The sequence below is a fragment of the Homo sapiens genome, chromosome 8 (assembly GCF_000001405.40).
Source record: "Homo sapiens chromosome 8, GRCh38.p14 Primary Assembly".
Classification (NCBI taxonomy): Eukaryota; Metazoa; Chordata; class Mammalia; order Primates; family Hominidae; genus Homo; species Homo sapiens.
The window spans coordinates 120,274,676-120,289,973 of NC_000008.11; the positions used below are offsets into that span (position 1 = coordinate 120,274,676).

General features: G+C 36.2%; 1 protein-coding gene across 13 annotated transcripts in view; it reads left to right on the top strand.

The window, feature by feature from the left end:
* Positions 1-15,298, top strand: part of COL14A1 (collagen type XIV alpha 1 chain) — a 249,120-nt gene that overhangs the window by 150,222 nt on the left and 83,600 nt on the right. For 11 of the 13 annotated variants that reach the window (NM_001413490.1, NM_001413491.1, NM_001413493.1 and 8 more), the window contains 8 exons: positions 3,436-3,559; positions 3,760-3,903; positions 5,260-5,424; positions 6,036-6,074; positions 6,246-6,384; positions 8,961-9,103; positions 11,186-11,295; positions 14,933-15,091. In NM_001413490.1, coding sequence (NP_001400419.1) covers positions 3,436-3,559; positions 3,760-3,903; positions 5,260-5,424; positions 6,036-6,074; positions 6,246-6,384; positions 8,961-9,103; positions 11,186-11,295; positions 14,933-15,091 — 1,023 coding nt within the window. Of the gene's footprint in view, positions 1-2,809; positions 3,258-3,435; positions 3,560-3,759; positions 3,904-5,259; positions 5,425-6,035; positions 6,075-6,245; positions 6,385-8,960; positions 9,104-11,185; positions 11,296-14,932; positions 15,092-15,298 lie in introns of those variants that run through there. The other 2 variants (NM_001413496.1, NM_001413497.1) reach the window with 1 other exon arrangement.

The window sequence follows — 15,298 nt, forward strand, 5'->3', positions numbered from 1 at the left end:
CAACGATCAATTCTGAGATAAGAGATAAGGCCTGAGGATCAAATCAAGAACATAATCACTTTTACAATAGCTGCAAAAAAAATAGACATACCTAGGCATATATTATACTTAACTAAAGAGATGGAAATTCTCTTCAACAAGAATCACAAAACACTGCTAAGAGAAATCAGAGATGACACAAACAAATGGAAGCATCCCATGCTCATGGATTGAAATAATTCTTATGAAAATGATCATATTTCCCAAAGCAATCTACAGATTCAATGCAATTCCTATACAAATATCAACATCGTTTTTCACAGAATTAGAAAAAAAATCCTGAAATTCATATGGAACCCAAAAAGAGCCCAAATAGCCAAAGCACTCCTAAACAAAAAGAAAAAAATCTGGAGGCATCACATTACCTGACTTCAAAGTATACTACAAGACCATAGTTACTAAAACAGCATGATACTGATATAAAAATAAGCACATAAACTAATGGAACAGAAGAGAGAACCCAGAAATAAAGTCAAATACATACAACCAACTGATCTTGGACAAAACATTCAAAAACATAAATTGGGGAAATGACACCCTATTTAATAAATGGCACTGGGAAAACTGGATAGCCACATGTAGAATGAAACTGGATCCCTACCTCTCACCTTATACAAAAATCAACTCAAGATGGATCAAAGCCTTAAATCTAAGACCTGAAATGATAAAAATTCTAGGAGATAACCTGCGAAAAACTCTTCTGGACATTGACCTGGCAAGGAATTTATGACTAAGACTCCAAAAGCAAATTCAACAAAAACAAAAATAAATAAATGGTACCTAATTAAACTAAAAACCTTCTGAACAGCTAATCATCAGAGTAAACAGAAAACACAAGAATGGGAGAAAATATTTGCAAACTATGCATCTGACAAAGAACTAATATCCAGAATCTACAAGAAACACACACAAATCAGCAAGAAAAAAACAAATATCTCATCAAAAAATGGGAAAATGGCATGAATAAACATTTCTCAAAAGAAGATACACAAATGGCCCACAAACATATGGAAAAATGCTCAACATCACTAATCATCATGGAAATGCAGATTAAAACCACAATGAGATACCTCCTTGCCCCTGTAAGAATGGCCATTATTATAAGTCAAAAAACAATAGATGTCGGTGTGGATGTGGTGAAAAGGAAATATTTATACACTGCTGGTGGGCATGTAATTTAGTATAACCTCTATGGAAAACAGTGTGGAGATTTCTTAAAGAACTAAAAGTAGATTTACCTTTGGTTCCAGCAATCCCAGTACTGGCTATCTACCCAAAGGAAAAGAAGTCATTATGTCAAAAGACACCAGTAAACATATGTTTATTTTAGCACAATTCACAAATGCAAAGATATAGAACCAACTTCAGTGCCTGTCATCCAATGAGTAAAGACAATGTTATATATATATGTAAAAAAATATATTATATATATATTTTACACAAACACACACCATGGAATACTACTCAGCCATAAAAAAGAACAAAGTAATGTACTTTGCAGCAGCTTGAATGGAGGCCATTATTCTAAGTGAAGTAATTCAGGAATGGAAAATCAAATACCGTATGTTCTCACTTTTAAGCGAGAGCTAAGCTGTAGCTACACAAAGGAACACAGGGTGGTATAATGGACTTGGAGACTCAGAGTGGGGAGGGTGGAAGGTGGATGAAGGATAAAAAAACTACATACTAGATAGAATGTACACTACTTGGGTGATGGGTGCACTAAAATCTCAAACCTTGCCACTATACAATTCAACCATGTAACCAAATACCCTTGTACTCCAAAAGTATTGTAAATAAAAATAGGTTCCCCACCCTGTGTCCAAGTGTTCTCATTGTTCAATTCCCACCTATGAGTGAGAACATGCAGTGTCTGGTTTTCTGTCCTTGTGATAGTTTGCTCAGAATGCTGGTTTCCAGTTTCATCCATGTCCCTTCAAAGGACATGAACTCATCCTTTTTTATGGCTGCATGGTGGGGGTAAGGGGGAGGGATAGCATTAGGAGATATACCTAATGTAAATGACGAGTTAATGGGTGCAGCACACCAACATGGCACATGTATACATATGTAACAAACCTTCACATTGTGCACAGGTACCCTAGAACTTAAAGTATAATAATAAAAAAAAATAAAATAAAATTAGGTTATTAAAAAAGAGGAGAATAGGTAACATGCTGAGGCATGTCAGAAAGAAGCAAGTTCCCTTTGAATTGCAGGAGACTTTATAAAAATGGTGACATGTCCAGTAGACTGATAAACTGGCAGCAGCTTAAGGCCCATTTAAACAAAGCTCTCGAAAGATGCTATCTTTACTTATTAAATCATAATTCTGAAAAACAAATAAAAAACAATTAAAAATGATCCAAAAGTTCCACAGGAATAAAAGCCAGTTGTAAGAACTGAAGCCAGAAAGCTTTGTATAGTAGTGGTTAAGAACATACATTTTGACCTAGAATAGACCTAACTTCAACTGTTGACTCTGCCAGTGACCACTCTTGTGATGTGCAAGTAACTTGTCTTTTGCAGCTCAGTTTCCTCAAGTGTAAAGTGAGTAGAATAGTAGTAATTACTTCATAGGTTTGCTTCATAAGGAAATCTTTGTAAAGAGTCTAACTCTGATTTTCGGACATTTGTCAAGTTACCAAGCTTAGGCTGCCATTTTTAAACTGTCAAATGAGGTGGCAAAAATCCTACAAGCTTGAAAGATTTTTAAAAAACTACTTTCTGAAAGTACTGAGAGACACATGCACTCCTATGTTCATTGCAGCACTATTCACAGTAACAAACATGGAATGCCCATCAATGGTGGACTGCGTAAAGAAAATGTGGTGAACATACAGCAAGAAATACTACGCAGCCATAAAAAAGAACAAAATCATGTTCTTTGCAGCAACACGGGTGCCTCTGGAAGCCATTATCTTGTGCAAATTAACACAGAAACATGAAACCAAATACTGCATGCTCTCACTTAGAAGTGGGAGCTAAACATCGAGTACACACGGACGTAAAGACGGGAACAATAGACACTAGGGGCTACTAGTAGGGGGAGAATAGAAGGAGGCTGAAGGTTGAAAAACTGCCTATTGGGAACTATGCTCACTACCTGGGGGACAGAATCATTTGTACACCACCTCTCAGTGACATGCCGTTTACCCATGTAACAAACCTACACAATGTACCCTCTGAATCTAAAATAAAATTTTTAAAAAAGAAAAGATGTATTTAATTTGTCTTCAAATTTGGTATGTAACTTGTATGAAAGAAATTTTAATCCAAGCAGATTTTGTAATGAGATAATGAAGAAATTAAAACTACAGGTGACACTGTGCTGTTGCTCTCTGACCCAGTGGAAGTCTACATATGTGTGAAAATGAATACACCTTCTCTCTCCAGGTTGCAATGGTTCAGTTCACTGATGATCCCAGAACAGAATTTAAACTAAATGCTTACAAAACCAAAGAGACTCTTCTTGATGCAATTAAACACATTTCATACAAAGGAGGAAATACAAAAACAGGTATGACCAAAAGAAGCCCAGCTAAGGCTCAAAGTAATTCATTATTTGTAACTACTGAAATGACCTTTTATTTTAAGGCATAGTAATTTTTTAAAGATTTTTTTTTTCATTAATTTAAGAACTTTGTTCCCACCCTTTCTTCTCCAGAAAAACAAAAATGGGAGGGAGTGAAATCAAACTGTTGCCTTTCTTTGTTTCAGGAAAAGCAATTAAGTATGTTCGAGATACCTTGTTCACTGCAGAGTCAGGTACAAGAAGGGGCATCCCAAAGGTTATCGTGGTTATAACTGATGGAAGATCACAAGATGATGTGAACAAAATCTCCAGGGAGATGCAATTAGATGGTAAGATATATAAACAATAGTGGCTACCAAATATGATGTTAGAATTGTTATTTTCTAAATACAAATTTATAGGCTATATCAGCATTACTTAAATGTTTTAAAATATTTCTTCATATTAACTAGACAGTGTAATTTTTAAAATACTTTCTGGTATACAAATCTGTAATTGTACTGCTTTGTTAGAGAAAATAGGTTATTTTCTCTAACACTTTTGTTACATACAGGATGCCCTTTATATGGAACTCTAGCAATTAAGTACTGTAAGAAAAGGACCAGGGAAAGAATCTTATTACAGAAACTCCTCAGCCTCTTAATCATACCCAAATGTCCATCGATGACAGACTGGATAAAGAAAATGTGGCACATATAAGCCATGGAATACTATGCAGCCATAAAAAAGAATGAGTTCATGTCCTTTGCAGGGAAATGGATGAAGCTGGAAACCATCATCCTCAGCAAACTAACACAGGAACAGAAAACTAAACACCACATGTTCTCACTCATAAGTGGGAGCTGAACAATGAGAACACATGGACACAGGGAGGGGAACATCACACACGGGGGCCTGTCGGGGGTGGGGGGCAAGGGAGGGAGAGCATTAAGACAAATACCTAATGCATGCAGGGCTTAAAACCTAGATGACAGGTTGATAGGTGCAGTAAACCACCATGGCACACGTATACCTATGTAAAAAACCTGCATCTTCAGCACGTGTATCCCAGAATTTAAAGTAAAATTGTGTAAAAAAGAAAAAATATTGATTGAATGTATATATATATATATGGACCAGGGAAGGAACCTTATTACAGAAATTCCTCAGCCTCTTAATCTGTAAAATAGAGATTCTCACAGGACTGCTGTGAAGATTAAATTACATAAGTTATGGCAAATAGTAGTTCTATTTACTTGCCAAGCATTGAATGGTGGCCCACCTTAGGTTGCTAGGCCTATTAATGTCTCAGCTTCTACTTCTGAAAAAAAAAAAAAAAACTGAGATAAGCTCAGTGTCTCTGTTTCAAGTATATTTCATACCATAAATGTTAAAAGTAACTTTTAAGAATATGCAACCATAGAGATATTACTCAAATGCAAACTACTTCGTCTCAGGCACAATTTGGGGCCTTGGTCTTCTTGGGTTTCTTTAAAATGGAAAATCTCTTTAGGGGATGATGGAATCATTATCACATAATGAAATATATACATGCAGAACTCTGATGAACTGTAAAGAATGAATTATCCACCCCCATGGGCCTTCCTAAATAAACATATTTTAAACAGTTGGATGTGTCTTATATTACATTATTTGTGTTTTGTACAATTTAAAGTAATCGGAAATCTGTTCTCTGTCTGCCACAGGCTATAGCATTTTTGCAATTGGTGTGGCCGATGCAGATTACTCGGAGTTGGTTAGCATTGGCAGTAAGCCCAGCGCACGCCATGTCTTCTTTGTGGATGACTTTGACGCCTTTAAGAAAATCGAAGATGAGTTAATTACTTTTGTCTGCGAAACAGCATCAGCAAGTTAGTTCTTTGGAATTTGTACTTACTCATGTTGCTTAACAGCTGAAATATTTGACACTGGTTAAATAGTGAGTCCGATCTAGATCTGAGAAAAGAATATTGACTTCCAGTACTGCTTGTTATATAGACATTAAGTTTTGTGGCTTTGAGCATATGGAAATAAACCTCCCCTCCTCTGTTTAGAGTTTAGAATGATAAAAACCTTCCCTAATCAGATGACAGTCTATGTTTAAAAGCAACTGTGCTTAAACAGATGTAGTAAATAATTTTCAATGTATTAAGAATGTATTAAGATGTAAAATGTATTAAGAATTCTCATCTGGGCAACATATTACAAGGGAGATGTGCCCCAATACATGCTCTCAGGTGATAACCACTGATTTTAATGAACCCAGGAGAGAAGGAAGCTGTGGTCCTTTAGTTGTAATAAGGGACCTTAGCACATTTCAATCTTCATGAAACCACAGAAAACCATAGTCACATTTGATTTGTATTCTCTCCACAATCAACTTCTGGAAAGATTGTATTAGTTTCCTGTTCTCAGGACAGGGAAAGAGTATGTTTGTGAAATATCCGAATTAGAGTTTTATTTTGTTTGTTTGGTTTTCCAGCCTGTCCAGTGGTACACAAGGATGGCATTGATCTTGCAGGTATGCATTATCACAATCTTTTCAAACACAAAATATATTACAGGCCTCTCAATTGGGGATGGGGTTTCTGTTTTTGTTTTTAAATCCTTAATAGAAAAATATTAAAATTTAAAATTCTAAAGTGCCATATTCCTTATGTTTATTCTTTTTCTACTTTTTTTTTTTTTTTAGGATTTAAGATGATGGAAATGTTTGGTTTGGTTGAAAAAGATTTTTCATCAGTGGAAGGGGTTTCTATGGAGCCTGGTACCTTCAATGTGTTTCCATGTTACCAACTCCATAAAGATGCCCTGGTTTCCCAGCCAACCAGGTATGTTTCTGTTGAAAGATTTTAAAGTCATCGTATGTTTATTATATCTCACTGTGAAAATGATGTCAACTTGAAATATGGTGTAATAGTCCCAGGTAGGATTTTCCACGACATTTAGAGTAGAAGATATTTACATTTCTTTGTTTAAAAACACCAGACTCACACATAATGCGGGTTGAACTTTAACATCTGCTGATCTGAGACAACATATAAAAATGATTGCTGGATGCTGTGGCTCATTCCTGTAATCGTAACACTTTGGGAGGCCAAGGTGGGAGGATCACTTGAGGCCAAAAGTTTGAGAGCAGCCTGGGCAACAAAATAAGAGTCTCTACAAAAACATAAAAATAAAAAAATTAGCTGGGCATTGTAGTGTGCACCTGTAGTCCCAGCTACTCTGGAGACTGAGGTGGGAGGATTGCTTGAGCTCAGGAGGTTGAAGCTGCAGTGTGCCATGATCACGCCACTGCACCTCAATCTTGGTGAAAGAGCAAGACCCCGTCTTTAAAAAAAAAAAAAAAAAGTTGATACTTATATAGCACTACTCCCAGCCATCTTTCTAAATGCTTATGTACACTAACTCACTCAAACCTCCAGACACCTCTATGAAAGTAGATTCTATTATTATCTAAATTTTACAGATAATGAATCAGAAACACAAAGAAGCTAAATGACTTGAGTGAGCTCACATAGTTAAATGGCAATGTTGGAATTTATATCCAGCTATCAAGCTCCAGTGCTCAGATCCTGAACCATTTCATGATAGTGCTATATGGTTCAAATGGCTTTTATCTTTGAGACAGTCACAACAGCAACTCTAGAAAGTTGAAGAGTAGTAATCAGGTTTATATAAAAATTGCATTACTTAGCTACTTTATAGACACATTTGCCTTATTCTTGTTTCTTTTTTTTTATTATACTTTAAGTTTTAGGGTACATGTGCACATTGTGCAGTTTAGTTACATATGTATACATGTGCCATGCTGGTGCGCTGCACCCACTAACTTGTCACTTGGAACCAACCCAAATGTCCAACAATGATAGACTGGATTAAGAAAATGTGGCACATATACACCATGGAATACTATGCAGCCATAAAAAATGATGAGTTCATGTCCTTTGTAGGGACATGGATGAAATTGGAAATCATCATTCTCAGTAAACTATCGCAAGAACAAAAAAGCCTTATTCTTGTTTCTATCTCTGGATCCCCAGCAAATTAGATGGTGTCTGTCCACATTGAAGGCAGATCTGCCCCACCTAGCTCACTCAGACTCGCACGCTAATATCCTCTGGAGACACCCTCACTGATATACTCCAAAATAATGCTTTACCAGGTTTCTAGATATTCCTTAATCCGGTCAAGTTGAAACCTAAAATTTTCCATCACAGGACCTTTGTCAGTTTATTTGCTGATGTATCTTAAATGTCTGTTACAATGTCTGGCATATAGTTGGCACTCAAAAATACTTATTGAATGGACAAATGAATTAATGAATATATAAATAAATGAATATTTATTTTTATCTATGCAAACCAAACTTTCATTTTCAAACGCACGCTAAACTTGCACATTTATTTATTCAATTAATAACTATTATGGGGTTCCTACTATATGTAAAGGGTTGTATTTTTTTGCTTGGAGGAAGATTTAAAAAGTAAATGAGTAAAAGTAACATTAGTTGTTAGAAAGAGAGACAAGATGATATTTTAGGTTGGGCTCTTCAGGAAGCAGATTTTCTGGGAGAGATTAGCATGTGGGAAGTTGATGAGGGTGTTCCCTCATGGAAGGGAACAGCAGGACACAGGACAAGCCAAGAGGGAGAAGTCAAGCTGTGAAGAATCTCAGTAAAAGCCTCCACCCACCCAGAAGAGTTCTGAAAATGGTATGGCCCCTCAGATCTGTCTCCCATTGGGTTCAGGGGTTCAGGTCCTTATACTTCCTCAATGACCAGTCATTGAAAAGAGGTTTCCTAGTAAGGTGGCATGACCTTGGGAGAGGCATCCTTTTTCAGCCAAGACAATTTCTGAAGGGGGATTGGTGTCTGAAACCTGTCTGCAGACAACACTCCCAGGACCAGGGGTAATGTACCCTTAATTTTGGAAGGTGGATCTGGATGGTGCAACACAGATGGGAATGCAATTGACTACAATATGTAGTAGAAAGTGATAATGTCATAAGTTATGTTTTACAAAAGGATAATAGATCAACATAGTTTATTACATGAAAACCTTTGACACTACTAAAATGTTCAGTGAGAAGTGACTGATTAGGTAAGTGATAAAATAGCCAAACAAGAGAAGACTGTACAGCCATGAAATATCATGCTCTTAAAAATATTTAAGGAAATGGAAAATGACTATTAAATGGTGCTAAGAAAGGGACAAAATGATATAAATTGGACAAATGCACACATTCTTTACTAAATTAGATCAACAGTGATCTAGTTGGTGTTAATGGTGGTCTTTTCTGTTTTTCCAAATCTTGTGTAATGAAAATGTATTTGCTTTATAATCAAAGGAGTAACTTTTTTGAGGAAGGATACAATGAAACATGGTTTTCTTTCTATGTTCAGGTACTTGCACCCAGAAGGATTGCCCTCCGACTACACAATCAGTTTTCTATTCCGGATTCTTCCTGACACTCCACAGGAGCCATTTGCTCTTTGGGAGATTTTAAATAAAAATTCTGACCCATTGGTTGGGGTTATTTTAGACAGTAAGTATATTTATTGAGATCACATTCACATATACATGTATGAGTAATGTATGTGGCATGCCATTTTGCCTGTTTGTGTATATTACAGAGTAACTCACTAATCTTATGTGATGTGTAAATACTAAACAATGAATTATATAGCAGTTGGTTTATCCATTTATTCTCTTATTCTTTCAACAAATATTTCTTGAGTTCCTATTTTGTGCCAACACTAAGCCTGGGATGCAGTAGTGAGGAAGGAGAAGAGAGAAAAACAATTTTTACTGGGAGAGGGAAAACTACAGACAGAGCAAGGCCCTTGGAGGGTCAATGGGAGGGGTGGGACCACAGTTCATTTTTTGGACATAGACATAATAAAAGTAAGATGCATATTTGATATCCCAGAATGGATGTCAGATTGACAGCAGCATATTTAGAAAGAATTCTGGGATGGAGATGTACATTTGAAAGTTGTGTGTCTTTGCTATACAAGCCATGAGACTGGGTGGGATCAACTAGAAAATGAGTCTAGAAAGAGCAGAGAATAAGTCTGGAGGCTGGGAAATGCCAATGTTTGGAGGTTGGAAACGTGAGGAAGAACCAATGAAGGAAGCTTCTTAACCTTGTGCTCTTGGATGTTGTACCATCAACCTCAAGCTCTTGGATGTTGTACATGATGATCACTTAAGCAGATCAACTTTTTGGTTAATATCACTGAATTTTCTATATCTAGTTTTAGTTTAGGATTCCAATGAACCTAGGAACCAAAATTTGGAGGCTATTACTAGGTGCTAAGTCACACATTCGGATAAGGAAAGTATTAAGCTTATTTCCGACTAGTATTTGTAAAAGGATTTTTCAGTACATGGAAACTAATCAACAACTAAATATGATATTGTGGAAGCATTTTGCATTGATATTAAAACTAAGGAAAAGCTGTAGATTGAAAGGGTATATGTTACTAACTTCATATATACCTGGGACTTGAAAATGAAGAATTTTCTTAAAATGATTAAGACTAGCTTGCTCCTTTTGAAAACAGAGGTATTAATTTGTAGCATAGGAATGAATTAGAAAGAAAAAAGATTAGATAAATGAATAATATGAATTATTCTCTCACAAGGTTAGTAATGCTTTGTATGCATATATTCTTTATTCTATTTGCTATTGAACAAAGGCATTTAAAAAAAAATTCCATAGGGCTTTGGATCTCAAATTTCAGCTGGAGTGAGAATCTTTTCTCTTTCTAATTCATAGTATCTTTTAAATAATAAAATATTCCTTGTAATAGGAATAATTTAAGATTAGAAAAATTTTTGCTTGTTTGTTCATAATGAATGAAATATCTTGGGTGGTGTAATTTGCACATCCTAGGAAAGTTGGTTGCTGCAGTGGGTTAAAAAGACAAAGGGCCGGCCAGGCACGGTGGCTCACGCCTGTAATCCCAGCACTTTGGGATGCTGAGGTGGGCAGATCATGAGGTCAGGAGATCGAGACCATCCTGAACATGAGGTCAGGAGATCGAGACCAAGCCGTCTCTACTAAAAATACAAAAAATTAGCTGGGCGTGGTGGCGGGTGCCTGTAGTCCCAGCTACTTGGGAGGCTGAGGCAGGAGAAAGGTGTGAACCCAGGAGGTGGAGCTTGCAGTGAGCCAAGATCATGCCACTGCACTCCAGCCTGGGTGACAGAGCGAGACTCCATCTCAAAAAAAAAAAAAAAAAAAAAAAAGAGACAAAGGGCCTGGTTTCTATTCTTTAAGATTTGATAAACTTAAAGCAGCTGTGTCTGCCTCTACTTCCAGCTTTGGACAGTTTCTCCCAGGAGAGTGATGGGAATGAGAGTCTGGGCAAGGAAGTACAGAGGTAAGAGTATGTGTAGGAGTCTTTGCCTCACTGTCATCACCAAGTGGCTTAATCAGTTCATGTAACCAACTAAAAGTCTGCGGCAACCTGGGGACTGTAGAACACTTCCTTACTCATCACATCATTCTAAATACAGTTTCAAAACAATCGATGCATTGTTTTGTTTTGAGTTGAATTTTAGAAAACAAAATTCACCTACTTTAATTATTTCTAAAATATTTTTATTTTTCTTTCAATAGATGGTGGGAAAACTCTAACATATTTCAACTATGACCAGAGTGGGGATTTTCAAACTGTTACTTTCGAAGGACCTGAAATTAGGAAAATTTTTTATGGAAGCTTTCACAAGGTTAGTAATGCTTTGTATGCATATATTCTTTATTCTATTTGCTATTGAACAAAGCCATTTAAAAACAATTCCATAGGGCTTTGGATCTCAAATTTCAGCTGGAGTGAGAATTTCCTTTGTGCTTGTTAACAATACCTGTGCTTGTTAACAGATTCTGATTTGGTAGTTCTGAGAGAGGACCCTGAAATGTGCATTTTTTTTTTTGGCAGGCACTCCCGAAAATAAGGGGGCACTTTCCTCTTTGAGGAAAAATGTAGTTAAGGATATGGCATTACCAAGTGGACAGTTGCTCATTTGCTACATTAGGTGCGATGTAGAAAAGATTGCTGGTCTAGCTGGTACAACTAGCTATCTATGAGTGCAGAAGAAAGCACAATCAGCTGAATCATCTTAAAATGTGCAGATAGGGATAACTGATTGCACCAATACTTTTACATATATACAAGTGCAATCCATCACTGTCATCATAACAGTTACCCTGCGGAAAAATTTTATAAAACCTAAGTTTACTTGTCATTATTTAATTTAATTTATTTATTTATTAATTTATTTATTTTGAGATGGAGTCTTGCTCTGTTGCCCAGGCTGGAGTGCAGTGGCGCGATCTTGGCTCACTACAAGCTCTGCCTCCCGGGTTCACGCCATTCTCCTGCCTCAGCCTCCCGAGGAGCTGGGATTACAGGCATCTGCCACCATGCTTGGCTAATTTTTTGTATTTTTAGTGGAGCCAGGATTTCACCATATTAGCCAGGATGGTCTCGATCTCCTGACCTCGTGATCCACCTGCCTTGGCATCCCAAAGTGCTGGGATTACAGGCGTGAGCCACCGCGCCTGGCCACTTGTCATTATTTTAATAACTCAGCACTTGTGGTATAACTATGTTCCTTAACATTTGCTTCTCAGAAACACTTACCTGTGGTGATCATTGGGGTGGACATCTACCAACATCTACTGCTTCCTTTGTATTTGAATAATCCCACTGATCTGTAGTGTTAAGCAGTGCAGCACCTACGCTGCAGGATGAGCAGAACATTTACTAGGTGGTGTAGAAAAATGCTTTGCTTCCTAACCAGGCCCTTACTGCCCTTTTAAAGTGAGAGAAGGGATGCTGCATAGCAATTTTCTTGGCTCCTGTCTCATGGCCCAGAATGCGGTCAAATCAATCTAATTTATGCAACTTTGCTACTTTCTGTGGTTTTGAATATCGTAATTGCATACCACATAATTGCATAAGAACAGTTGCTAAAAAAAAAAAAACAACTTGCTTTTTTTCCTGTTTAATAGGACTGTACTACCAGAAGAAAAGGTATCTGAAAAGCACATGAGATACAGTGGAGATTTATTAGTTCATGGCTCAAAGTGGTCCCATTAGCAGCTCTTAGGACTTAACATTGTTTACTCACCAAATTCCTCTTGGCATGTTTATTTTCTTGGTTATGGAGAGTGTATTGCAAAATAGTAAAAAATAAAATTGTTTGGGAGATGAAAAGCGTTTGAGATTTCATGAGTGTTAAAAGAAACATTGTCATTTTAGCCCATGGTTTAGGCATGAACTTGTAATTCTCATTCCAAAGAATCCTTTGTAAGTCTTAGGTGAAGGTTAAGCTTTATTTCCTTACCAGAAGAACTCAAGAAGTGAGGTTCATTAAAAATCGATTTAAAATTTATAAACCTTCAAATTTTTAAAAGTTATATGAAGGAAGACTTCCCTCTACTTTAAGTGTTAATAAAGCCAAAAAGCCAAACAAGGAAAAAAATTCAAAAAAGGCTTCTCATGTGACAAAATACTTTATAATAGACCTATTAATAGAATATCTCAATGCAAATTCAATTTGTAGAAGTCGAATTCTATTTGTTCATAGACTTATAAATGAATAAATACTTTATCTTAATTTCTCATTGATTTTCAGTTAGTTTTATTTTTTACACTTTGGCTATGAAGTGTGGGCCCAAGGTCTCTTTCAAAAAGTTTTAATTATATAAATGGGCACTTAAGTGCAACCAAAGAAGCAAAATATCTTTGAAAAATTTTCAATATCTCCTTTTGTAAAGCAAAAAAAAAAAAAATTAAGCATGTGAATAACTCCCCACAAGTTAACAATTCTTAAGGCAGGGGTACTAGAAACTAAGTTTTCTAGCACCCAGTATGAAAATTTCTGTAATCTATAATATTGGAAAGTGTTCTAAGGCTCAAAAACACATAAGAGTTGAATTATACTCTAGTAAATGATTGCAACAGAGATGTTAATAAGAAGCAAGGAATGTGGTGGGGTTTATTCCATCAATGTTTCCATACTTGGGCAATAGTTAATTCCTTTTTGAAGGAAAAGGATTCTCAAGAGTCCCACTGTTGACTTACATTATTTGTATCATGATCTAACTCAAATAAAACATGAAATAACAATTGGTGTAAGTCCATGTGCTTTCAGCTCGTATGCAACAATGAAACAAAAATGAAGTTGAACAAAACCAGTAAAATTAAAAGTAACACTATCTTAATGTGAAAGAGGACATTATTTCATTGACATTCAACCTGTACTTACAATGTGAATACACTGCTAGCTACTATAACTCCCATAACTTTGATTGTATTGCCCAAGATTGTTTTTCTTTGAACTACCATGATACCTTACCTTAAACAGATTTGTAACTTCTTTTGGCTTTTACTTAGGGCAAAACCGTTATTTGCCTATTAATTTCACCCCATAACCTTGATTGTATTGACCAACATGGTTTTTCTTTGAACTACCGTAATGCCTTATCTTAAACAGATTTGTAACTTCTTTTGGCTTTTACTTAGGGTGAAATCATTATTTACCTATTAATTTGACTCTTTTAGCTCATCAGTCTGCCAAAAACAAGTACTGTAGTACTCGTGAGGTTAATGCCATTGTAAGTTACAATGCATATATAAGCACTGAAATTTTATGGCAGAACTTGGACATAGAGTAGTTATCCAGTTCATCTAGAATATACCTAACTTTGACTATCACCTAAATAAGACAGATTTTACGAGTCCTTACAAAGAATGTGTCAACTCCTGAAAATATCACGGACCTCCAGATTCTTGAGATTCTAGTTTGAGAAAAATGTACCATACACTAAGCTAAACAGCTTTATTTTATTTGAACCTGGGTTCACCAGAAAGCATTCCTTCTTCCCCCTCAGATTCTAGATCCCCTTTCCTCATCCTAAATTAAATAAATATTTTTGAAGTGTGGTTTGCCAACCACTCGTGGTGCTTTGGATGATTGTTGGTGATACATCAACAAAGATTTTTAATTTTAATATTTTTGTGTTAATTTTAATGTGCATTCAGAAAAGGCATGGCTAGTACAGCAGTCCTGTAATTTCAAAGATGCGATTGCTCTCGAGTTAGGCCGGACTTTAAAAAGTGAATCCTTTCAAAGCCATTTTAGAAAGAAGTGTTAAATAGATAAAAATAGAGATGGTACTTGAATATGGGAAAATCATGGAGATGATAAAAGTAGAAATTTTCTCTTTTGGCAAAATACATGGTGACAGAATTCTTTCTCTTCTCTTTCATACTTTGTAATGATGAATCATACAATTATACAAATTTGGTTGATATTTCCTTCTGTTTCTTACCTCCTAAAACATCTTACTTTTACCTAGCTACACATTGTTGTCAGTGAGACTTTGGTCAAAGTGGTTATTGACTGCAAGCAAGTGGGTGAGAAGGCAATGAACGCATCAGCTAATATCACGTCAGATGGTGTAGAAGTGCTAGGGAAAATGGTTCGATCAAGAGGACCAGGTGGAAACTCTGCACCGGTAAGTGAATAAACCCGTGAAGCTGTGTTATTGTTAAGGGAGAGAAATTATTTTAAAGTACATTAGCTATTTTCCAGGGGAAAGGTTTAACAAAAAGATGAATGGATAAATGGATGGATGAATGAATGGATGGATGGATGGATGGATAGATGGATGGATAAATAAATAATGGCCTCTTTAAATGAATTAAGACATGTACATTCAAAG